This window comes from Homo sapiens, chromosome 4 (genome assembly GCF_000001405.40).
Source record: "Homo sapiens chromosome 4, GRCh38.p14 Primary Assembly".
NCBI classification, from domain to species: Eukaryota; Metazoa; Chordata; class Mammalia; order Primates; family Hominidae; genus Homo; species Homo sapiens.
The window spans coordinates 93763058-93789185 of record NC_000004.12 but is presented as its reverse complement, the minus strand read 5'-3'; the positions used below and the strand labels follow the sequence as shown (position 1 = coordinate 93789185).

The following is a 26128-nucleotide window of genomic DNA, read 5'->3' as shown; positions in this document are numbered from 1 at the left end:
TAAAACACATAATATCACTGTGTTTAGGTCATTTATCTAAGCTTTTGTATTTGTTGACTCTGATTTTCACCAGTATTACTATTATTCATGTGTTTTAGCTATCACTTTGCAGCTGGGATGGATATGAAGAAAAGAGAGATTGTGAGGAGAAAAGAGATTATTTCTCTGTTCCTTAAAGACACAGATACAGGATAATAAAAAAATGATTTGTTGTTCCATTGTGTTGTCAAGGAGTAGTTTGCTTCAGGACTCCTCAAGAGGTAGGACTGTTTCTATGCAGAGCCACCACAAGAGGGCTTAAATGTGATCATTTTTCAACAGAAGAACCAACAGAAAACAAAAGTTGGTTTTCTGCTGTGTATGTGGTACACTTCATGTAGGTGCAGTGATATTGATGAAGTGCTGCAATAAAGATATTCCTTATGGAAATATTTTTTGACAGGTTAAGTTGTGATAGTTATTCTACCGCATAGGAGACCCTTAGATTAATTACCCTTGAACGTCCTTTAGATCATATAATTTGGTTACTCAACATTATATTGCCCATTGAATAACTTCCCATCTTGTTAACCTGAGATTTTTGTTATCTTTTTTCTTCCAGTTTTGTTAAGGTGTAATTTACAAAAATTGCATTACACATATGCATATGGTATACAATGTCATGTTTATATATATATATGTACATATGTGTGTGTATATATATACTCACATTGTGAAATTATTAGATTAAGCTAATTAAGATATTCATACTTATCTTTTTTGTATGTATGTGTTGAGAACTGAAACTCTTATTATCTGCTTATCCTGAGACTCCAATTCTCAATGTTTTGCCAAAACCTAGGCTTTACGTTTTCTTTTCTTTTTTTTTTGAGCGGAGTCTCGCTCTGTCACCCTGGCTGGAGTGCAATGGTGTGATCTCGGCTCACTGCAACCTCCGCCTCCCGGGTTCAAGCTATTCTCCTGTCTCAGCCTCCCGAGTAGCTGGGATTACAGGTGCCTGCCACCATGCCTGGCTAATATTTTGTATTTTTAGTAGAGACGGGGTTTCGCCATGTTGAGCAGGCTGGTCTTGAACTCCTGACCTCAGGTGATCCACCCGCCTCGGCCTCCTAAAGTGCTGGGATTACAGACGTGAGCCACCGCGCCCAGCCTTAGGCGTTACATTGTCAATGTCTTGCTTAGTATGTCCACCTGGATATTTTACCTTCATCTCAATTATGATGTTTCCAAAGTCAAATACCATTTTTCACTCCACATACAAAATATTTTCCCTGAGTCTATTCGTCCAGACATCCTACCTTGAATCTCTGTTATGATGTCAGAGTCTTCTTTTCCTTTCTATAGCTAAGCCAGTAATTAGTAAATACATGAATGTATTTCCACTTGAACTTGACCGCACCATAATGGTCATTGTTAATCAATCGTTCCATTCAATAATTCAACAAGCAGTAATTCAATGACCCTCATATACCAGACACTGTCTTAAGCACTGAAGAAAGAGTAATAAACAAGACTGCGAAACTCCTCCCCTCAATTTTCTTTCATTATGGTGGAAGGAGAAAGACAATGACCAGTAGGTAAATTATATAGTATGGTAGAAGGTGTCCTGTGCTATGAAAGATAACGGAGCCATGTAAGGGTAAATGGGGGATGTTAGGGGAAAGGATCTCAACTTTAAACAGGGTGGTTAGAGTGGACCTCATATCCTGAATTTTGATCTCATAATTCTTTTTAATGCTGTGCTTTAGACAGAACCTTGCTTATTATCCTTGATCTAAGCAATCACCAAATCTGTTGATTTTCTCCCAATGTGCTTTTTATTTCATTTCTACTACTATTGGCCTTATTCAGCCTGTATTTCTTCATGCTTAGATTATTACAAAGCCTGCTAACTTGACTCTATGCCTCTATGGTAGTCAAGTCAGATGCTTAACAAAACTGTTTTGATGTGGCCATGTGACAACCAATGGATGTGTGCAGAAGTGATGTGCACTACTTCCGGGTCAGGTTCATTAAAACTCCCACAATCCTCCATGTTCTCTCTTTACCTCATCTGCCAACTGGATGCAGAAGACCCAGTGGAGGACTCCAAAGTCCTAGGGAATAACAGAGCAACTAGATAGAAGGAACCTGGGTTCTGAATCTATTAGATCAAGCCACTGAGATTTGTGGGGATGAGATGAAGCACAGTTTTCACACTCTAATCAAAATGGCCTCTCACTATACTTCATACACCATTGGGACACCCCGTTAAAATTGACTTTTGTTTAGTACCACTTTGAGTAGTCATTTTACTGCTTACTCTACAACTCTCTGTTAAATCCAAGTCTGTCTGCCCTTGGCTAACTAGAAGCTGCTGAGGATATTTGAAAAAAATGTGCAACTGTACAGATCAGGCCAAAATAATGTAATGACCTCTAACCTCAGCTGAGCCCTCAAAGCTGTACATCAGTTCTGCCATGTTGCTCTAGATAGCTTTTCTATTCTTTATTCTTCTTAAATTTCTGACCTCTCACTCTCACCAGTGATTTGCTTCCTCCATCTTGTAGAAAATAGAATCCAACATAATTCTCACTAAACATCAGGCAATTGAACCTAGAAATTTATTTGCATTCACATCCATACTTTTGCCTTTCATGCAGTTACAAAAAAAATGTCTCTCTTCTCTTACTGCAGAGGAATTGTACCCTGGATCTCATTCCTTTTTACCTTTTCAAAACCCTGCTTGTTACTGTATTCTCAAGCTTTGCCCTCTACTGGCTCCTTCATATTTGCATTTAAATGTGCTCAAGTGTCTCCTACGTTGGAAACAAACAAACACCCTCCTGGGATCCCATTTCTTCTAGGTTGAGCTCCTTTCCTGGCCTTCACCTCTCCTTCATCACCATATTCCTTGGGAGAGCAGTGTATGTGTCCTTCCACTTATTCTTCCAACAGCTGCAGTCTGGCTTTAGTCCACCATTCTGAACACTGTTCTCACCCGGGGCCTGAGGATCTATCTGTTGCTGGTTCTCATGGATATGCTTATTCCCTGAGTAACACTTGACAATATTGACCACTCCCTATTGAAATACTCTCTTCTCTTCACATCTGAGACCATTCACTGTTATAGTTTTCTTTCCAGATTTCTTTTAGCTAGTAAGTTTTTTCCATTTAACACACTCTTTTGTCCTTTGATCAAATGTTGATCCTCCACAGTGTTGGATGTCCAGAACTTACTTTGCGCTAAATAGACCCACATATTCCTTGGATGATTTTATTACCTTCCATGATGTCAATTACAAGCCCAGACCCAGACCCCATTCCCACTACAGCTCTCTCTAGTATCTTTCCACCTCTTTCCTTCCTTTCCACCTCTTTACTACTGGACTGGACTATTTCCTCTAGGTGGATTGCCACACGAGTTTCTGACTGGTCTGCCTCTCTTAGGTCTTTTCCCATTCCCGAAGTTTCTCCTGGGGCAGTGAGAGTGATTCTTTAAAATAGGAACATGATCAGGTCACCGCTTTAAAGTCTTCAATGGCTTCTTAGTGATGCCTGGAACACTACTTCTTAAAGAATTTGTATTAAATTCTTTATCACGGTTAATGAAGCATTACAAGGCCTGCTCCATACCTTCTTAAAAATTTTCTTGATATTTTCCTTTTATCAGCTTGACTTCTTTCAGTCCCTGGAACAAATCGTGCCCTCTGGCTTTAGGTCTTTGCCTATACTGGTCACATGATCTGAAAAACCTCTATTTCCTTTGCCTGGCTATTGGTCAATACTCCCTCAGTTCTAACTTGGAATCCCATTCTCTAGGGAGCTTTTCCTAGCCCTGGTCTGAGTGGCAAATCACCTTGCATTTTCATTACTACTTATTCCAATTTATTGTCATTGCCTGTTAAATTGTCTTTCTTCCCCAGTAGATTGCAAACACCGTCACATTTCCAATATTCACAGCTGTTCAAAAACAGAATCAATTGTAAAAGGTACGAAACTCAAACATTAGGTAGGTGGCTGGATGTCATATTATTGTTTGGTTGTCTTCTGTCCTGCTTTTCCTGGCCCATGTGTTCCAGCCAAACTATCTGATCTTTCTCAATACGCTTTGTGTTACCCTCCACGGTGACTTGGATGAGATCTTTCTCTTTGCCTAAAAAAAGTCTTTCTCTAGTCTATACCTGTGAAAATTGTACATTCTCTTTCAAGGCTCAGTTCCAAAACTGTCTTCTCTATGAAGATACTCTATTGCCTGTGAGAAGAGATCTTTCTGTTCTCTGAATTTTCAAAATACTCTGGACTATTTTAAGTACTTACATATAATTTTAAACTGTAGTTATAGCTGTATTTCTGTAAAAGCATACCTAGAAGAGCATCTTCTCTCCCTTCTTTCAGTTTCTGTAATACATTGTATCACTTTTATGGAACATATCATACTTTGCCTTATGTCACAGTTAGGTATATACAGGATATCTCTTCTGTAATAGCTTTGAGAGTCTTGCATGTCTGTATGTTCTGCGATACCGTGGTGTGTGTGTGTGTGTGTGTGTGTGTGTGTATAAAAAGGACTCTGAAAATATAAAATACAATTGTTGAATAAATCAACAAATTTTTTTTTTCCATCTTCTGTCTGTCTCCATAGGACTTCCTGATTCAAGCCAAAAGTCTTATTCTCTGGCTCCTACTTGTCAATGATACTTTCCTATTTCCTTTTTGTGCATTGCTTTTACAGTCTACATTCACATTTCCAATTGTCAAAATCCTTCCTCCTTGGCTCAAACGCTGCTTCTCTGTGAAGGGTGCCTTAGTGCTTCCTGCCAGAAGGAATCTCAGCTGAGGCGCTTGGTCATTAATTAGTGGGCCATAGAAATACCACAGAAAAAAAATAAATCATGGAGCAGCATGACCTGACAAGTAATTTAATAAGATCATCTAGTAAGATACGTAGATGGAATGTGAGCCTAAAAAGAGTGAAGCTTGGGAGACTTACTACAAGGCTTCCAGGTAGAGGCTAGCATGTGCTTAAACTTGTCTTGTAGCATTAGGGCTGGAAAAAGAGGACCAGGTACTAAAGCTTTATGCGAGTGGACTCAATAAGGGTTGGTTTTTTTTTTTTTTTTTTTTTTTTTTTTGAGACGGAGTCTCGCTCTGTCGCCCAGGCTGGAGTGCAGTGGCGGGATCTCGGCTCACTGCAAGCTCCGCCTCCCGGGTTCACGCCATTCTCCTGCCTCAGCCTCCCAAGTAGCTGGGACTACAGGCGCCCGCCACTACGCCTGGCTAATTTTTTGTATTTTTAGTAGAGACGGGGTTTCACCGTTTTAGCCGGGATGGTCTCGATCTCCTGACCTCGTGATCCGCCCACCTCGGCCTCCCAAAGTGCTGGGATTACAGGCGTGAGCCACCGCGCCCGGCCAAGGGTTGGTTTTTCTAAGGTTTTCATTAGAGGGACTCTAAGCAAGAGGGGAGAAGACTGGAAAGGTCACTAACACCACCATTAGCATAAATAAAGAATACAAGAGGGACATGAGTGGGTGTGCTGGTATTTGAGCAGTGTCTTCTGTAGATGCTAATCCGGCAGAGTATTTCTCTGAATCTGTTTGTGTTTTCTAAGCTCCTACAATGCTTCATCTGTATTCATCTTTTGTGAGTTTTTATTTACCATTTGTAGTTTCTGTATTACAAATATTTGTAGCTACTGAGGACTAGTCAATTTTTATGGATCCCATAGTGTACAAAGCCTCTTACATCAGTGAGGAATATAGAAGGACCATTTACCTCCATCTCGCCTTGATTCTGAAATAGCCCATTGAGGAGGAAAGCACATGGATTTCTGAGTTAGAGAGATGTGAGTTTGAATTCTCGCTTACTAATTGTGTGAACTCAACCAAATTACTTAACTTTCCAGAGTTTTACTTTTGTTTTGTTTTAATCTGCTAAATTAGTGTCAACAATAGCAAACTTACAGGGTTATTACGAGACTCAGGTGAAACACCTACATAGTGCCTAGCACTGAGCCTGGCACCTGGTCAGCATGCCTTCCCTCCCACGAGGACAAACATTGCAGCAGAAATTAGCGACTTGCTTGTTCAGATGAGAAGGGGTTAAACTTCCCTGCATATGAAATAATTCTTATTGAGGATATATGCCATATATTTTATTAATTGCAGTCCAGAAACATGTGCCTCTGCAAATTACTTTGAAAGTCTTACATTGTGTTGATATTTAGGGCAACAGGTGTACATAATTAGTGTGTGATTCTCTTTTATAAGATAGATTAGTTTGTGTGTGTGTGTGTGTGTGTGTGTGTGTGTATGATTCATGGTTTATATTTTAAAAGCAAGGCTGTGAGGCAAGAGTACATAGCAAAGAATTATAATCTCAAATAATTGGGAAATCAGGTTTTAACAGTTATTTTAAATTTATAAAAACCCGTATTGCTTATTTCTTGTTTTATATTTGATATACGATATTTTTTTCTTAGAATTGGGATATCAGCTTTGACCTCTGAAAAGTGGACCATGATTATGGCCTCAGTGTTGAAAGTTGGTTAGAGTCAGTAGACAAGATCCTGGACAAAAATCTAAGTCATCTTTCTAATGGCATCTGCTTGGTAAAAGCTAACCTTTTAAAGTGTTAGTGGAATTGGTGTCACAGGATTTGTGATGATGAGTATTTCAGACCTACCTCTTAGTCTCTTAGAGTACTCTTAACTGTGTTAGTGGATGCTTTCTGAACTCTCACGTTGAAGCAGACTCGGAACTAAAAGCATACAATTACAGGCAAACAAACACAGTTCATTCCATGGTTCTTTCATTTGATTTGTAGTGTCAAGTATATTGGCTTGAACATAGCAGGTATTTTTAATGTTTGGGCTAATTTTAGTTTGTTCGTTTTCTAAGACAAGGCTGTGTTTAGAAACATTTATTTTGGATTTCCATTCAGGTATGTCTGTCTGCTGCCTGGTTCTAGTGAGTCTAAATCACTAGAAGCCAAGGTCCTTAAGGACCTTGGAGACACTGGACCTATTTCAAGATAGCGATTTGAGTCACTGTCACCACATTGAAGGGCAGTTTGGTCAATTCTGAGTATTCGCCATGTGGGAAACATGATAAATTCTATGTGGGATAAAGGGATGAGGGTTCTTCTGTACTATTTTGAAGAACCAGCGGAGAACTACTTTTAATACAATCCAAAGTCAATGGAAGGAAGAGTAATCTAACAATCAAAGTTTGAATGCTATGATAGGCCTCAGAAAACATTTGACTTGAGATTTTGTTCATTTGTCAGTAATGTATTATCCAGAGGGTGAAAGAAATCTTAACTGGAAGTCAAATGCAGTCAGACCTCTGGATCTGTGGGTTTCACATCTATGGATTCAACCAACCTCAGATTGAAAATATTCAGAAAAACACTCTGTACTAAACATGTACAGACATTTTTCTTGTCATTATTCCCTAAACTGTACAGTATAACAACTGTTTACATAGCATTTACATTGTATTAGATGTTAGAAATAATATAGAGGTGATTTAAATTATACAGAAGAATTTGCATATGTTATATGCATATATTATAGACAAACACTATACCATTTTATATAAGGGTCTGGGCATCCTTGGATTCTGGTATCTGAGGGGGGTCCTGGAACCAACCCCCGACTGACACTGAGGGAACCAACCCCCCACTGACACTGAGGGACCCACTGCAAATGAAGAAATCAAAGCAAAGGTGCTGTAAGGGAAGCCCAGTGGGCCTCACCGCAGCCCCTCACCGCAGCCCCTCACCGCAGCCCAGTAGGCCTCACCGCAGCCCCTCACCGCAGCCCAGCAGGTCTCACCGCAGCCCCTCACCGCAGCCCAGTGGGCCTCACCGCAGCCCAGTGGCATCCCCATAAATCTTGAGCAAAACCCTTGGGAATCTGGGGAGCACAGTTTAAAAATTATGGACTCTAGATGATCCCTCAGTTCCCCATCACTTGTTAAAAATTCATCATTCATGCTCCCAATGAAAGAAAACAAATGATTCTCAATTCTATCCTTTCTTCCCCCAAGCCCTCTAATTCAAGGAAAAAGTAAAATTAACAAACTAGATATTCTGACTTTGCCACTTTTTGGGAAAATTATATCCATCTTTCTGGCATCTGAATTTGAGAAATCGATCATCTTTGACTTGTTTTCTCTTTTACACTCTATATTCAGTTAACCTTCAAGTTCTCTTGATTCTTCCTTCAATACCTATCTACGCTCTGTATCTTCTTTCTTTTCTAGATTACTTCAGAAGTTCAGCACATACCGAAATTATTGTCCAGCCCTTTTAATTGGCCTCTTTTTCTTCTTCATTTCATTTGATGAATTGCTACCAGTTTACTTTTTCTAAACTGCCCCTTTAAGAGCCTGTTTCTCCCTTGGTTAAAAATCTTCAGTGGTTTCCCCACTGCCACTGACGGAGGTTTTCACACTTTCCATGGTTGTGAGCCTCTGTGAGCGCCAGCCCAGCTTCAGTACCTCTCTGATGGTTCAAGGACCAGCAGCTGGCACTTCCATACCACTTTCCTATTGCACTCTACTTAAAATGGTAGCAAATATTTAGGACCAAAGGAGGGTGGGAAGGTGTCGGCAGTTATGATTCCAAGACTGTTTTATATCTGACTTTGTGATCAACCTGCTGGAACTAGTAAATGTCATTCTACTTTGTTCAAAACACTCCAGTGGTTTCCCAACCCATGCAGAATAAAATCCCAAATCTTCAGTGTCCTACAAAGCCTTGTAATGTGAGCCATTTGTTACCTCTTAGCGCCCTTCTCCTATCACTCATTCCAATCCAGCTGAATTGATCGTCTCGCTATTCTTTAGACATGCCCAGGACATTCTCACCTCAGAGCCTTTGTATTGGCTGTTCCCAAAGACTGGAATGCGTTTTCCCCAGACAGCAACATGGCTAACTCCCTCAGTCCATTTAAAGCTTCATTCAAATGCCAGCTAATCAGTCAGGCGTCCTTTGACCACCTTACTTAATATAGCAGATCCCCACTTCTGCTCTGGCCTTCTTGCTCCTTGTTCTTCTTTTGCTTTGTTTTCCTCCACAGCACTTACCACCTCCCAATAGACTAATCCTTCACTTACTTTCTGGCTTATTATCTGTCTCCCTCAGTTAACTGTGAACTCCATGAAGGCATGAATTTCTGTCTTGCTTACTGGTGTATCCCCAACACACAGAATAGTGTCTTGCACACAGCAGGGCCTGGGTAAACATATGTTGAATACGTGAATAAACAGGATGTAGTGTTCTCTCTTCAGCTCAGCCTCCAGGCATCCCGCAATCTCACTCACACTTTGCCTTTTGCTGCTCTCTGACACAAAGCCCATATTCCAGACATCGTGGTCTACTGTGCCTCTGAACATTCTTCCCAACGCTTGTCCTATGGTTGCACTGTAACCTCTGGTACAAAAGCATCCTTCTGACCTTTCCACATTCTTGGTGCTTAGGCTAATTTTCCACTTGTTCCATGCAGCCTATGTTATTCTTTTCCTCTTTTCATAGAGTATTTTTTCTATACCACTAATTTGACAAACATACTCTGCAACATGGTGTAATTTATATTCATGTCTTCTGATGTTATTTATATGATGAGTTTTTACTTCACTTTTCAAATGTTTATATTTTGTTTCTCCAACTTTGGAAGCTTTCTCAGGAGAAGCTGGGTGGCAGAGCTGCTCACAGGAAGAATTTCAGCCTAGTCATCCCCTCTCCCCGGCCACCATGAGGAAATGAGAGGATCAAAGCTTCAGTACACCAGAAGCACAGCTGGCCCAGGCACTTGCCTTGGTACATCAGTTAGGAGAACTCTGCCCTAGGGTACCGTGCTAATAGTAGGTGCTCAGAAAGTATTTGTTGGTGGACTGATTGATCTTATGTGATTGTATTTTTCCCAATATTCTCCCTGAAGCCTTGCTAAAGTTCCTGTATAGGTACTAAACTCATTAAAAAAAAAAAAAGGGAAAGAGACACAAAATGATTATTATGAAGTAGGAATCTAAAACTTCATTTAGTGATGCTGAGAGAGACCTAATTAAAAATATTCATGATTGGTGATTGAGCCATTGGACACATCAAAAACTTTGGAGGCTGTACATGTGAGAGGGGTTTTCATACATATGGTAATCAGTTTATGGTCATTTTTACTATGATCTTTCCATGGAGAAATCTGAGTGAGAAATAAGTTTAAAAATGTTTAGTCATGCAGAATTACAATCTGAGAGTCCCAATTATGTGTATATATTGCTGCACTGCATATTTTTAATTTTAACTCCTAATATGTTGATTTGGAAAGAATTGTACTCATTAAAAAAACATCATGTGTGAATAGAGTTTTGTATCACATACATCATGTCAACTATGTCAATCAGGTATGTTCAAAGCTTTTTTAAAAAACAGTGTCTAGAGAAGTACTTGAGCATGTTAATTATTCAGTTACTCTTTCTAGCACTAAAAAGTCAAATGATATAAGACTGGGCGTGGTGGCTCACGCCTGTAATCTCAGCACTTTGGGAGACTGAGAGGGGCAGATCATGTGAGGTCCGGGGTTCAAGACCAGCCTGCCCAACATGGTGAAACCCTGTCTCTATTAAAAATACCAAAAATTAGCTGAGCGTGGTGGCACATGCCTGTAGTCCTAGCTACTTGGGAGGCTGAGGCACGAGAATTGCCTGAGCCTAGGAGGCAAAGGTTCCAGGGAGCCGAGATCGTGCCACTGCATTCCAGCCTGGGTGACAGAGCGAGACTCTGTCTCAAAAAAAAAAAAAAAAAAAAAGCCAAATGAGATAAGCTGAACATATGGAACTTCTATTTTTCAGCTTAATTTTAGTGTGCTTTTATTTCTAGCAATAAATCTTATAGATAACTTTTGTAAACAGATATTAATAGAGGGTTAGCATTTAATTTTAAAGTCAACCTAATTTTGGAAAGGAATTAAATATTAACTATCAGATACTTTTTTACATAGTATGAAATAGATACTGATACCCTTGCCTCCAGGAAATAGCTGTGATCCTGAAAGCTTTAGATAACTTGAATTTTTGTAAATTGAATCTTATTTTATTACATATCAGAAGAACTAATTCTTAAAGGTCTCCTACTATGAATCTTTTGTGTAGCGAATATGCAAGCTGTATTTGTTTATTTTTCAAATTCAGGAAGTTATGGGTTATCTTTGCATATAGGTATCTATGTGTGTTTAAAAAATAATACTGATGTCCAATTTTTAAAAATTAAAAACAGCCACTTAAGTAGGCTACTTAATTCCTAAACTTTTTCAGTAGCAGCAATTTAATAATAAAATATAACAATTTAAAGCTTGCCTTCTACTCATATTTCAAAGCTTGTAGCTGGCAAAATATTTATTAAAAGCAATGTTTGTCATCCCTTCTCTGGTTCTGACACTGTATCATTCTTTGTTTTTGTGACATATGTTTCTCCTTGTAAAGCAGCTGTTAGGAAAGCTTAATTAGTTTTTAATTAATGAGAATTAATGTGCTGAAAATTTTGTGAGTTTTCAACCACATCATGAATAGTTTGAGACTGTTGAAATGTGTTGCTTACTCCAAGGTAGGAATGTATTGGGTTTCTCCAAAAGAAAACCAGGTCCTCCTTCCTCATGAAGGCTAGACAAGCTATGTCTATACTATGAGGTAGGTAATATGTTTGAATAACACAGCTAGTTTCTCTTCTTCATTCTGAAGAAATTCTAGGAACTATGATACAAAATTAGGCAAAAGATGTCACTGAGTCCTAAATTGTAGCAAGTCAAGATAGAGCTCTTAGATATGAAAAAAATTCTCAAATGTGAACAATTTTTGTTTTGTCATCAATGTTACATGGAAACAAAGCAAATGAATACTATTGACGACATAGGAATTTGAAAAATTCAGGTGAAGAAATGAGAGCAAGTTCCTTGATCTGTTTCTATCCCAGTGGTAGGCTGAATCATTATGTGCTTTAACTGTTCCATGCCTCTGTGCAGCTCTATAAAATGAAGCAAAACCATGAGGTTTCTAGTCTCCTGGAGGTATGTGTGGGTTGGAGGCTATCATCATGGTGGGCAGCCTGAAGGATACTTTACATTCATTGGGTTTATGGGCCACACTGCATCCTGTGTCTTAGATGACAGGAAAGGTAGCACGGAGTTTTAGTTGCAGTATGAAAAAGATCCTGAATAAGATTTACTATGTTTTGTCCTGTTGAGGCAAGTTGAAACATTGCAGAGCTTGAATTATCATGACTCATTAGATTTGCAGGGATAGAAAAGGAGTTGTTATGGTCTACATTATGCCGATGAGGACACCTAAGGGTAGGAGTCAGTCTCTGAATGGTATGCAAGTATCAATAAGGATGAAGGGTTAGATAGTAATTTTCTGTGGCTTATAGGAATTTTCACATTTTTGAAAATTTGGCTTCAGGATCTGGCATGTTGGTAAATTTCCAAGTCTTCTTTGGGGAGGTGGTCTGAACCAAGAAGACAGTTTCAATTGGTGCTTGAGAACTACTAAGATGAATTGGTCCAGTCAGTCACCCAACCAAGAAGACTGTGCTGGTTTGGGGTGACTCATTCTGTAACGTGGCCTCCGTATCCTGCATGTTGATATGGAGCCAGGAAAGAGATGAGTGTTGGAACACACCCAGACCCATTCCTAAACATTCATTTCTGCCATGCCCAGCTGTTTAGCACAATGGCTTTCAAAATAATAGGTTCTCTGTTAACACTAGTAGAATTGAATTACATCTATCAAATCTTCTATAAATTATAGCTTTATTCTCTGACTTTTCAGTGTCAGATAAGTAATTTCTACCTAGGGAAGCTCACATATGCTGCCTCATAAGAGGGTGTCTTCTAAAATATTTGTTGACAGAGTGTCTACCAAATTTCATTGAAATGATAATTATGGCCATAGTTGTTAATCATTTATTAATATTTGGTCATGAGGGTTGGCTATAAGATTTGTTTTTTGAAAGAAAAGTACTCTGGAAGGAAGCCAAATTTTAGTGAGTCCATTGTACTTTATCAGTCATCATCACATTTATATTTAAGGATAAAACCTATGTTTACCAGCACATAATCTCTTCTCTGCATGATTTACTATACTTATAATCTAGAATGTGTTTCACCATTGGAAAATTCTGATTATAAAATAGTAATAACTTGTTATTCAATTGTGTGTCTTAGAAGTATCATGCAGGGTAAATGGATCTTCCCATCTTTTATTTAAATTGATGAAGCAAAGTACCATTCGGTAAAGTCTATTTTTAAAAGTATTTATTCAGTTGATAGCCAATCCCAAACTAAAAGAGATGAAAAATAACATGATCACGAACATGACAAATTGCCTGTAGTTTAATGGTATGAGGAAGAAGGCAGTCTTACAACTTTAAGTATGTATGATTAAACCAAAGCCTGTGCATAAGTTCTGATGTGGTACAGTGATACCAGATATCTTAATGATTCACCAGTGGGGTAAATTGGACATTTGAATAGAATAAAAGTACTTGGATATAAGGTATTTTGTCTTGTAGTGAAATAGCCAGGTTGGTCTAAGTGTTGCAAACCAGGACAAACAATGGGCCAAAAAACCAAGTGTAGACAGAAACAGGAACCGACCTTAGTTTTGCTGCTAGCTATGGCCCTGGGTAAATAACCTGAGGTACTCACTTTCCCATGTGTAAAAGTGGAATCAGATGATCTATGTGTCCCAAACAAGGAAGGAAGGATCCTAGAGATTTGTAGCCTAGGCTTGGTGAGAGGAGAAGGTGGAGCCTATATTTACAATCCATGAGGACCTATGTTGGTGTGATTGAAGGGTGGCAGAGTTTTAAAAAAGAAGACCCAGTTTACATTTTAGGTTGTCAAACATTTGGGCATATCACAGCATCTTAGCATCTTATTTTCCCTGATTTGTAAAATGAGGTCAACAGTCTAGATCTCTAAATTTCCTCTTAGTTCCAATATTCAAAGAATTATTTTGGATGGAACTTTAGAACAATAGAGAACTATTTTTTTTTTTTTTTTAGTAAATTATGTTTTCAAAATACATTTTCAGATATATATCCCTTAGGTGTGTTAAACGCTGGAAGAATTAAAATTATTGTTCAAATGCAGGAAAACTATTAGAAATAATCTTAGAACCTAAATTAATTCCCAAATTAATAGATTCAGCATGACGAATAATTCTCTAGCAAAGCAATTTTTAAGAAATAAATCCTAAGTTTAATAATTACCCTTAATTTTCTTGTCTTTCTTATTTTTTTTGATGTAACACACCCTCATCCTGATATTATCATAATGGTTGCATTGCTTACATGAAACAGGATAAATCTTTCCCAAAAAAGTGCTCACAGAGACATCCACAGAGAAAAACAAATGTATTGTTGGTTCAAATAGTCTCAAATAGCAGAAAGGCAGTCTCTCATTGGTTTAAGACATCACTTAGTAATGTTTTAGAGAGCCATTCATTTTGGCATAGTTCTGCCAGTAAAACTTAATGTGATTTATGCTTTAATTAACTCAAGATAAATTTTTAGAAAAATTTAGTTCAATCTGTGAGAGAGTAAACATTTTCAAATCTTACAGTTAAGACTTCAATAGTATGAGAGCAAGTTTAGAAAACATTTTTATTAGACAAATTATTTAGACAAATTATACACAGAAAGCTCTGTCACTCATAACTGAGGCCTCCAAAAATGTTTTGTGTGTTTGTATAATAGGCGATACATCAAAATAAGCCTATTTTAAATATTGTACATGGTTAACAGTTTGTTGATAGCTAAAATCACTGCAACATCTGGTATGTCCCTATATAGCTTGTTGTAAAGATTTTTTTGTTTTAAAATCAGAGTTGTAAATGAGATCATGAATGTTACAAGGGAAAACAAGTTGTGCATGCACTTAGTTACTTGTTACCCTGGAAACAAAATGGTTTTTGCATGATAAGAAATTTTTCTGCCTTACACAGTAGACAATATTTGAAGATTTAGTACAAAACAGTGACAATACAAGATGCTCCCCAGAACAGAATTAGCATCAAAATATAATATATCTTAAGAATATACCTTTTAATTTCTCCTAAAGCAAATCACATAGGTTGATTCCTATATCAATCCTAGCCACAGAATGAGTTAGATTAAAGTAAGTGTATGGCTGCGTAAAAACACAGAATAAGTTCTTGCTTCCTACTTACCACATTTTAATTTAAGGATTACAAACAAAGTTCATTCTACATTTCTAACAAGTAAGAATGCTACTTTAAAAGGATTGTGCACAAAGAGGCACTGTTTTTGCTGTCATCCTTCTATATACTTGGCACTAATGTAAAAAATACATAACTCCTCCAAATAGAACTAAATAAAAAAGGGAGTTGAGTTGAGAGCCCATTATGGTTATTATGTTTTCTTCTTTAGGATAATAAATGACAGTAATTTAAGGCCACATCAATAGTTCTTAAGGGCTCCCACCCCTCCCCAAATATCATTATTGTATTGATTGACTTGCTGCTTTGGAAGAGGATTTTTAACCTTCAATGATCTATGTTTCAACTCTTCTAGAGCTCTATGTGCTGTTGTGGATGTGGTTCAGCTAATAGCATTTTTCATTTAGATAATTAATTAAAAGTAAAATTATCAAGGTTAGCTTTATACACTGCTGAATAACAAATGCAAAACCTATTCAAATGAGTTACATCTAGGAACAAATATTAAATTGCCCTGGATGCTTTAATAACAAAAGTATAAAATATTTTCTGTTGGCAAACAATGCGAGTCAGAATAACATTAAAGCAACCTGCCTTTTCTAACTGAAAAGAACCCCTGCACTATACATAGTTCCTGTATACAATACTTTTGTTTAAACTAAAGCTTTATTAAATGAATTGCAATAGCAATGGCTGCCTTTTTATATATATACACATTATATAGGTGCATATATATGTATATATATGAAATACTAATTTATTTAACACAATAGAGGCTTCTGCCATATGATAAAGTTTACTGTACATAAGAAAAAACTTTTAATACTGTACAATCACATAAAGGTCATATGCACTGTTGCAGTGCAAGAGTAGTTTTAACTGTAGTCTTGACTGGCATATTAATGGCTTTTTTGTAATCCTACAAAATTGCATTCTCATCTTATGTGGCCTGAATGGTCTTAAAATTGTTTTATAAACACTGCAGGGGTTGCCTTTGGTCCACAGTTAAAGGACACTCAACAGCAGTGGAGCATTGTATGGATGCAGCAGAAGAATGTAAAAAGACTGAAGTTATTGCAATTGTATTTCAAAAAATAGAGAAATGTTACAGAAGAGGCCTTTATGTAAAATTAATCCTGCATATACTTTTAGTATACTCAGTGCACATTTCCTATACTTGATGTACAGTATATGAAAAGCAGACTAATAGGATCCTAGTACACTACCTTCTTGGGGAACAAGTTGAGTAATGAAAAAAAGTGGAGGAAAATGTACAGGAAGGGAGGGGGAAAGAGAGAAAATCATAGAGGAGAGAGGAGAGGGAGAAGGTGGGAGGAAAAAACTAGAATTGTTACTAATAATCCTGATCTTTTTTTTAAACGTTACATCCATGTTAGTCCCACAATATTACAGTTGCTCCTTGCAAAGGGAGTCCTAAAAAAGAAACAGTGAAGAGATTTGTTTGATGCTCATATGGAGGTGCCTCGGTCTGGATCATTACCCAGATTGAGCCCCAGGGTAGGAGTTGGTTGATAAGGAATAGATGACATTGTTTTTATAGGACTCCTGAAAAAGCCCCCATTAGGTGCCCTGTGCCTAAAAGGGCCAGTTCGGTGCTCAGGCACGTTGCCAAAAGTGAAACCAGAAGCAGCTTTAGCTGACAGTGTGCGGCTAAGAGTCTGGATCTGCTCTGGGATAAAGGTTGTTGTGGTAATATGAGTGTTCCTGAAATCACTGATTTGCTCCAGTGCTTGTCGTGTTGGCAAAGTGTCAATGTCCAGAGGGGTCAAATCAATTGACGAGGTGGAAAACTGTTTATGGGGGCTGTCGTCATCTGTGCACAAGCTATTTACACGTCTATGGAGGTGCTCCAGGTCAATTTCCTTGTCATCCTGGAGATGAAGAAAAAGAAAATAAGGTTCTCATCAGTACTAGCTTTGATGGTTAAAAAAAAAAAAGTAGTTCAGCAAACATGTAATTAACTGAACTTTGGGGTTTATTCATTTAACAAATATTTATTGAGCACCTAGTATGAGCCAGGCACTGTGCTAAGTTCTGGGGGATTCCAATTCTGAGATAAGATTATCTACAATAAATATTTTTCTTGCAGTAAAGGTTTTAAAGTGATCATATGCCACATGCAACTACAAAGATATGTAAGCAGTTGATGGGTGATTGCCATTCTATAAAAGACAGACCCAGGCAAAATTGTAACAATAGAAAGTATGGTTTTGGCAACTCTACCCCCCACCTCTTCTTTATACATGCTTCCTCCCTTTTCAGGGCGTCTCATTCCAAGTTAAATTTTTGTTCCTTTCAACCACTTACTCCTAAACTTAAGTTTCCATTCTTGAAAAAAATGATATAGTAAGCTATTTCATACTGAAGTGTTAGTGACTGTTAAAGTGTTATTCCTTGTAAGCCAAGGATATGTGCGATTGTTTAGAGAGAGCAATACTCAACACAAAATAATTTCTAATTGAGGGATTTATGCACTCAAGGTATCTAGCACCTGAATCAGTCAATACTGTGAGGTCAGTGAGATATTTAGGGACCCCTTCAAGTCAGGGCACGTGAGTGATAGCTTTAGTTTAGGGCCAGCTTTATGCTAACTGACCTCAAAACCAAAGACGTTTTAAGCTATGCTAATGGCGTCTTGGTAAGAAGGCAGTTAATAAACAAAAATATAAGTAAAATCTCAGATTTTTGGAATTGAAACCCATTGATAAGTTCCTTATATTTTTCACTAAAAGTGAGTATTAACGCCCAATATTTGAGAAATAAAACTGGAAGGAAATAAAATTATCCTTGTTATTAGTCTTATTTACAGCCAAACTCAATAAATTAAATTTATGAGAATTTAAGATATCTATTAATCATAAGAGGAGAAAATATTTTTTCATAGGATCTGGATTAGCTGTCACAAGTTAGAATGGAGCATGTATTTTTTTCATTGTGCTATTATAGTGTTCCTCAGTGAAAAATATTTTGATGTGCATCACTGTTTTTCCTTCTCCCTTCTTATTTCAAAATTCAATAAAAAATATCCATTAATGCAATATTATCACTGAGACTTTAGAGGATTGAGACATATAATTTTATGGTTCCCACAGCAACTGTAATGTAGTCATCCATCAACAGATATAATAATGCAAAATTTTAATATCATATAGAGTAATTCAAAATATAAGGAGCTTGGGGAGTCCTTACTTTCCAGATTTTTAAAAATATGAGTCTCAGCTATAATGTTGCATTAATGTGGTCTTTTGCATTGAATCAATGTCAACGGAGATACCAGAAGCTTATTCCACAAAGAAAACACTACAATGTGACTTGATTAATTTATAATTCATTCTTCACATATTTAGAATGTATGCTCATTCACACAGGTAGGAAGCTAAAATTCATCTTTGCTAAAGCCAAGCTTTTCCTTATAAATGCTGCTGATCAATTTTGCATATAAGGTGATAAGAAGGAATCCTTACACTACTTTTGAAATCACCCTGTTTGAAAAAAACACATTAATGTGCAACAATTCATATGCAAATGAGAAGCCGTATTTATTGTGCATTAAAGTAGATCCTTTCAGGAGTTGCCTCAGGCATCAGTTAGTCAGCCAAGTTCTAGTTATAGAAACTTTAAAAGTTTCTTTGAAGCTATCCATCACATAAAATTGTTTAGCAAATTCAGATTGGTTTTTGTTTCAATTTGTGAAGCTTTAGTGAATATGACTTCATCAGTTAAAACATTTTCACCCCTTTAGTCCAATGGAAATAAGATAAATTAATCAAGATTTAGCTTCAGATTTTCTTTAATTTATAAGTCTCATACTTCTTGATGAAAACAATGCTCAGGCCACTATAAAAGAGATATGTGTAATTCTGTAATTATTCTTTCAGATATTGAGATAAAATTTAATATGGCCCTGAAGTGAAGCTGACTCCACAGTAAAGGAGAAACATTGAAATTTGGATGTTTTCATGATGTGGATTTTGGATTTGATAAGCTTGGGGCCATCGAAGAGCTTCTATAGGTCTACATGAGTAGAGAAGGAGGCAGTCACTAGTGGTGAAGAGAAAATTCTGATCATTTTTATTACAGTATTGTATTTTTGGGGGGCTAGTCTTAGAGATACGAGGAATTTACTTACAAGTTAAACAACTAAGTGAAACAAAATGGTAAGTATCTCTGTGAACTGGTCAAAGGAATCATGGCCTTTAAAAATCACTGAATTAAAATCTATTCTGAGATTTGAGAGAATTTCAAAGCCCATTATGGTATATGAATTTCTAAGTCTTTCAAACACTATAGTCTCCTCTTCACTGATCTGGGGATATCCTAAAATGGAAATTGATATTGATCTTACCAATTTTTATATTTCACAACTTTATTTTTAATCTTCAAGAAACGAAAAAACAAGGACCACCCCCAACCCATTATCCTCCCTGGGATGGTCCTCCCTGGAAATACAGCCTGCTTGTTGATTCAATTTAGAGCCAAATCTCTCAATCAAGTACCTCTTTTGATGGAACCCGGGAGCCTTTCCTCTTGTTCCACCACGTCTCCAGCATGGCTATGAAGCAGGAGAGGACAATTCCAGCAGCCAGGATACAAAAGACCCCTGCAAAGCTCTTTATGTCCAGGGCGCCTCCTTTCTGCTTTGTGTCCACTGACGAGTACAGGTCACACTGGCCATTCTTAGGCCACCATTTGTGCTTCAGGATGTCCATGTCACCATTCTGCTGAAGCTCCAGGATCCTTGGGATAAAGAACATAAGCATGTGTTATTACAGACATAGTTATCGCCCTGGTTCACAACACATCCATTTATAATCCCACCTCTGTAGGATGGTGGCTGTCAAAGGGAAATGAATATATAGATCTGCTTGTTTTAGATGGAATGCTAGGAAACAGAAAGTCATCATTGCTTTGATTCTACAGACAGCATTGCACCACACTGCTTTCCTCTCTCTCTTCACCCATCCCACCCTCCCATCTTCCTCTCTCCTTTTCTTCCTATTCTTCTTCTTCTGGTTTCATTCTATAATTCTAAATATTTTCCTCCTGGTTTGCTTCAGTGTGTTTTTACAATCACAATTCAGAGGCACTGTTTTTATATGCTTTCAAGTTGTTGTAGTTCTGTGTCCCTTTCCTACATCCAGAATGATACTCAGGATCTTAATGCTTTTATGAAGAACGTTTTGCTGCTTAGAGCAAGATGCTGGCGTAATGTCACCCAGCATATGCTACACACAAAGAAATTCAATTAAGAAGACCTATTATTTAACACAGTGTGAGAGGAAGCCTTGGGATAAGTTTCAAGTTGATAAAATACATCTTTTTTGGTTTTTCGCACAACTGATCTAGTTTCCCTTTTAATGCCAAAGGGGAAGTAATCTTACCTTGGAAAACAAGAAGAAAACCTGACCAGAGGCTTTCAGAAGTAGTTAAATTCAAATAGGAAAAACCCTCTTCTTTTTCTTCTGCTGCTTCTTTTTCCCCTCCCCAGAGTCTGAGGGTAGCTGCACACTGCAGCTTTTTAAAGTGTGTTTTTCATAGAGGAATTATTCTCAATTCCCAGTGCTTCTTAGGCTCTACCTGAGGCCAGCCTAGATGTGGCCCTCCTCCAGCTATGCCCTTTTTCACAGGGCAAGGAAGATCAGACCAAGGCTGTGTGCCTGTACAGAGTGTGCATCGTCCTCTGGGTTCCCTGGAATTTCCTGGCCAAACAGCTTAGTGCTCTTCCAGGGCCTGCCAGGCCTATTCCCAGGGTTGTCCTCCTGGCAGAAGATCTTACAGCCACGGGTGCACCATAGCTCTATAGGGTGGAGTTTGTAGAGTGTGGACAGAGCTCAGATGAGTGAGCTCGGGTGTATACAGCCTTGCGTAGGAGACACTTCAGCGTGCAAGTTGGAGCTGCAGGTGGAAAGAAAGGGCCCCAGAGCCCTGTGCTCCTGGGTCAGTTCAGACCTCCTGGCTAGTCACATAGAAACTTAAACCTGGCCTCCCAGGGGTCATGAAGGTATATTTGTCCAGATAAGAACATAGAATATATTATATCAAACAGGTTTTAGTTTAATGCATAATTTTTACATAATTAGACTTGGGGTATGTGAACCTATATTTGTACTCTTGCCCAAGGTCTTGGATTATTTGGGGTGAGACTGCTTACAATTTAAGAGTTCAGAGAATGGAGTTGTAGTGACCTTTTTACCTGTTTCATGTCATCCACATGGCTAGAAGAACAAGCAACATGATAAAGGGAAGAAGATTTTGTGCATTGGAAGTTGGGTCAGTGTTTAATCTGAGTTAAACTAGAGTGAGACCAGCCCTTAAGGCTCTGGTAGAGGGTTGGTCTCAGGTCCCTGTCATCTCTCCCAGACGTTCCCACAGCCTCAGCTCTGGTGCCCCGTGCTGGCAGTCCAGGACTGAGACTGTTCTGAAACCTCCCCCACAACCTGGACCTTTTCTCCTTGCTTCCTGTGAAATGTATCTGTCTAGAGTGTTGCTCTAGAAGAGTAATTAATTTGATTAATTGAATTTACTAAAATGATTATGAATATTAATGGGTTATATGTCACCCTTATTCCAGCTTCCATTCCAGAAAAAGCCATTTGCATTTCCAGAATTTCCAAAAGTGCATTTCACAGCAAACCAGTACCTACAAGACCTCTGTAAGAAAAGGGCCTTGTGGTTATTAATTCTGAGAAACACACTCTTGGGAATTTACAAAGATGTCAGCCTATTAAAGACTCTCAGAAGACCAGCAGAAAAGAAAACGGCATGATTTTGTTTAACTCAGCATTTCCCAAACTTATGACCTTCATTCCCCTTCTCTCATTTTGCTTTCCAAGTAACAGGTTTAAGAAATACACATGGGAAATAATCTCTTGATCCAAAGAAGCAACTACTTGTAGAAATTTCCAGCACTGTGTTAGGCAACACACAAAGATGTAATCATGGTATCAAAATTACTTTCCTGGCCTATTCATGAATATCATTTAAATGATGTTGGTATTGCTCGTCGATAGGTGTAAAGCTTCAGTTATGCAAGAGGGAAAAGTTCTTGAAAACTACTGTACAACATTGTAACTATAGTTAGCAATACTGTATTGTACATTAAAAATTTTCATAGAATAGCACCCATGTTAAGAATTCTTACCATAATAATAAAAAATAATGGCACATCCCTTATGTATTTGCCCACCTAAAGGCTCTAGGTAGTCAGAGCACCATTGATTACCTTGGAGGAAAAATGTAGTCATCTTTGAACAAATAATTCTTTTTAAATTTGAGTTTATAAGTACTTGTAGATATAAAAGGCAACTACAGCAACATTTGCTTAATGAGAATACATCTGGGCACAAAATGAGATCCTGTTATCCTGCTCTCCTATTTGCATCACACCATATTGGTCAGTAGCCTTGTGATACGGTTTGGCTCCGTGTCCCCACACAAATCTCACCTTGTAATAATCTCCACGTGTCAAGTGCAGGACAGGTGGAGATAATTGAATCATGGGGGTGGTTTCCCTCATGCCGTTCTTGTGATAGTGAGTCTCACGAGATCTGATGGTTTTATAAGGGGCTTCCCCTTTGCTCAGCACTCATTCTCTCTCCCGCTGCCTTGTGAAGAGGTGCCTTCCACCATGATTGTAAGTTTCCTGAGGCCTCCCCAGCCATGGGGAACTGTGAGTCAATTAAACTTCTTTCTTTATAAACTACCCAGTCTTGGGTATTTCTTCATAGCAGTGAGAGAACGAACTAATACACTGTGAAAGTGTAAGAATTTTCCTTCATAGCACTTATCATCATTTATAATTACTTGATCAGTCTGTTCCATTTTCGAGAGTGTGTACTCATCCTCCATATTGCCTCCTACAGAGCAGGTGCATATTTATTGATGGAATATACTCAACACAGTTTTGGTAAATGAATCCTAAACTCTGATATCAGATCCTATTCTTTTTTCTTACGATTGATGCTGTTTTCTAATTTATTCCATTCCTGTTTTATTCATCTATCCATTTAATAAACAGTTGAAGAATGACTTCATTCCAGACATTTCCTTGGGTACAAAATTTATTCTAAACCACGACTGCACATTCCACCGGAGAGGCTTGAGTGACACTGTGAAGCCATTTTTTTAATGCCCTCAATTCATGTTCATTTATTCCTTCCTTCATTCAGGAACTTAATTACTGCCTACACTTTCTTCTCAGTGGTATTTGGGGCCCTTGCATTTCATTTTATTTAATTTTGTCTCCTTATTCTTTCTAAACTTGGAAAATATTTTGACTTTAGAAATCATTATTGAAATATATATATATGCCTCATATATATATATATATATATATATAATACCTCACCTATTTAAATTCTAATAGGAATTAAAAGCCTTAAACCCAAAAAAAATCATTTAATTGCAGAATTTTTAGGTTCAGCCAGCTGAGCGATAGGAGATCATCGAGGGGAAAGAAGGAAGCACCCTCTCTAGGTGCTTCAAGTACGAATATGCCACAAAAATCTCTTTGTATTGTTTATTTTATGCTCACGGCAGCACAAGTGGCTGGGGCATTGCAGGGAGATTTCATCTTTGGGGATGTACAGAGAAATTGGACCATCTGACCCCTCAGTCACCCCTGACAACAGATTCCAGGAATACAGGCTGGCATGGGCTACAAGTGTTGGAAGGGAATGAAAGTGTTCTCTAAGTCCAGAGTTCTGTCATAACATTTTGCTACAAAATCTAGTGTTCCTGGAAATTCCATCAGAATGGTCTCACTATGGCCTCCTTTTTATGATTTAACAAAAACCCAATTTAAAGATTATGTAAAGCAAGTGTGGTAAAATATAATGCACTGCCTGGAAGATGAATAGGATGAATTCTTATAATAAGCAAAGAGATATGTTCCCTTCAATCTTCCCAAAGCACTGGCCCTTTTAAATTGAACTTGAAAATCTAAAGAATTGTACCTTGTAATTATAAGCAACAATAATGTGTATGTATGTGTGCGAGTGTGTGTGTGTGCGCGTATGTATGACAATGCAAAAATTGAGTTGCAAAATTCTTAATAAACACAAGAAAAACTTTTGAGTTTATGGAACAATAATGTTCTGTTTGGCGTGCAATTTCCACAAGATGGCAGTATTTGCTCATAGAGAGCAAAGAGTTACTGTGGTTATTGTTAATCTATGGGATTGAAGTGCTGAAGTATAGACTTTGTGGGGCTGTAAATACTTAAACTATTAGAAATAAGTTTAGCTATTAGACTGTGATGAACTAACGGCTAAAATCTCTTTTTGGAGTATAGTCAGAAAAATTCCTGCTATTTTTACACCATGGTGATGCATAACAACACTTACTTTTGAGGGTCATTGTGGTGTGAATTAATAAGACCACACGTGACGATCTCAGTGAGCAAGATGCATGAAAAGCTCATTACCTGGCACGCGGAAGGCTATTGCAACTCTAAAGCTAGACTTATTATTGTCACATGTATCACTATTGTTCTTTCTTTGGACCTGTTCCGGTACATACTTCTTAATGGAGAATTACATGCCCATATGATCAATGAATGATTGATTCACTGACACGGACATCTCATTTCCTTTTTTTCATCCAAAATATTAAAACATTTGTGATCCCATTGAACAGAAAAATTTTAGAAGTCCATAAAACTTAATTGCAATTTGAAAATTGCACTGATTTCTTTATTGGTATAAATGAGGAAATTTCAGGGGAAGGGAGTAGAGGAATCAAAAGATCCTTCTTTCATATTAAAATTAAAGAAATCCAACAGGTTTAGGCATTCATCTTGAAGAGCCTTTTTAGCCTCATTTGTGTTTGAGACTCACACTAATTTTTGATCCCTTACCATTTTTAGTCACTACTCTAGGAAATGATTTTCAAATTAATTTATTTGTTACAAAACAGGTTGCTGAAAGTTGGACGCAAATTTCTAATCCCACATAGGTCACTCTGATTTTGTCCTTAAATACCATCGCTGTCAATAAGTTCCTCTCAAACTTTTCTGGAATCATGGCCCATAGGTGAATTCCTACTGAACCAAACTAAAAAAGTTACTGGTTACTGGTTACCTAAGAAAAATGACACCTGCCTTTTTAGTCATTTCTACTAGGAAATTAGAATGGGAAAGGTTGCAGACATTATTGCTTCCCCGTCTGTTTCTCCTCCCCCATTTTATGGATGAAGACGCTAAGTAATCCGGCATAATGATTCCCTAGATTTTTCACATGGAACACACAATCTCACTGCTGTAGAGTTTAAATGACTTTTTAAGTTGCTCACACAGATAATAAATAGTTGAATTGGGCTTAGAACTCAGGTCTGCCTTCCAGCACATTTCTCTCCATTATCTCACACAGCTTCTAATATGTAAGTATGCAGAGAAAAGCTATCTTCTTTAGTTTCAGAGATTTCTTAAACCCTGAGTAAACGTCTCATCAATATGTTTCCTCTAAACCAAACAATATAATTATAGTGTGATAGCAAATGTATTCATGCTACAATTTGGGTATGCAGAGAAAATGTAGCTTTTCTCTATAACTTAATTGATCTTAGGAGGACTGTGCCTACTGAGCAGTGGGGAAAAAACTAAATTTAGCCCAATATGATTTAAAATTTAATCTCATCTAATAATTTAACATGTCTCTAGCTTTAGCTCAATCTACTTGAGAGAATTACTCAATTCTTCCCATTTCTTCTCTTTTCCCTTACTCTTTTTCAAAATGGTATCAGGATTTATGGAGGACAGCATTATATCCCTGAAATTAGGGATTTAGGGGAAAGGTGGTGGCTGGTCTCTTGCAGGTCCTTGAATTCGCTTTGGCAGCTCTCCTTTGAGGTGGGATGGGCTTGGGTTCAGTTTTAGAGATTAATAGGTGACT

At 37.8% G+C, this 26128-nt stretch overlaps 1 protein-coding gene across 15 annotated transcripts in view; it reads right to left on the bottom strand.

Annotated features, from left to right (window-relative positions):
• Nucleotides 1-26128, bottom strand: part of GRID2 (glutamate ionotropic receptor delta type subunit 2) — a 1506491-nt gene that overhangs the window by 21271 nt on the left and 1459092 nt on the right. For 11 of the 15 annotated variants that reach the window (XM_024454024.2, NM_001510.4, XM_011531893.3 and 8 more), the window contains 2 exons: nt 19736-19976; nt 14620-17110 (listed from right to left, as the gene is read on the bottom strand). In XM_024454024.2, coding sequence (XP_024309792.1) covers nt 16688-17110; nt 19736-19976 — 664 coding nt within the window. In that variant the 3' untranslated portion in view covers nt 14620-16687. Of the gene's footprint in view, nt 1-14619; nt 17111-19735; nt 19977-26128 lie in introns of those variants that run through there. The other 4 variants (NM_001440459.1, XM_017008120.3, XM_047450132.1 and 1 more) reach the window with 2 other exon arrangements.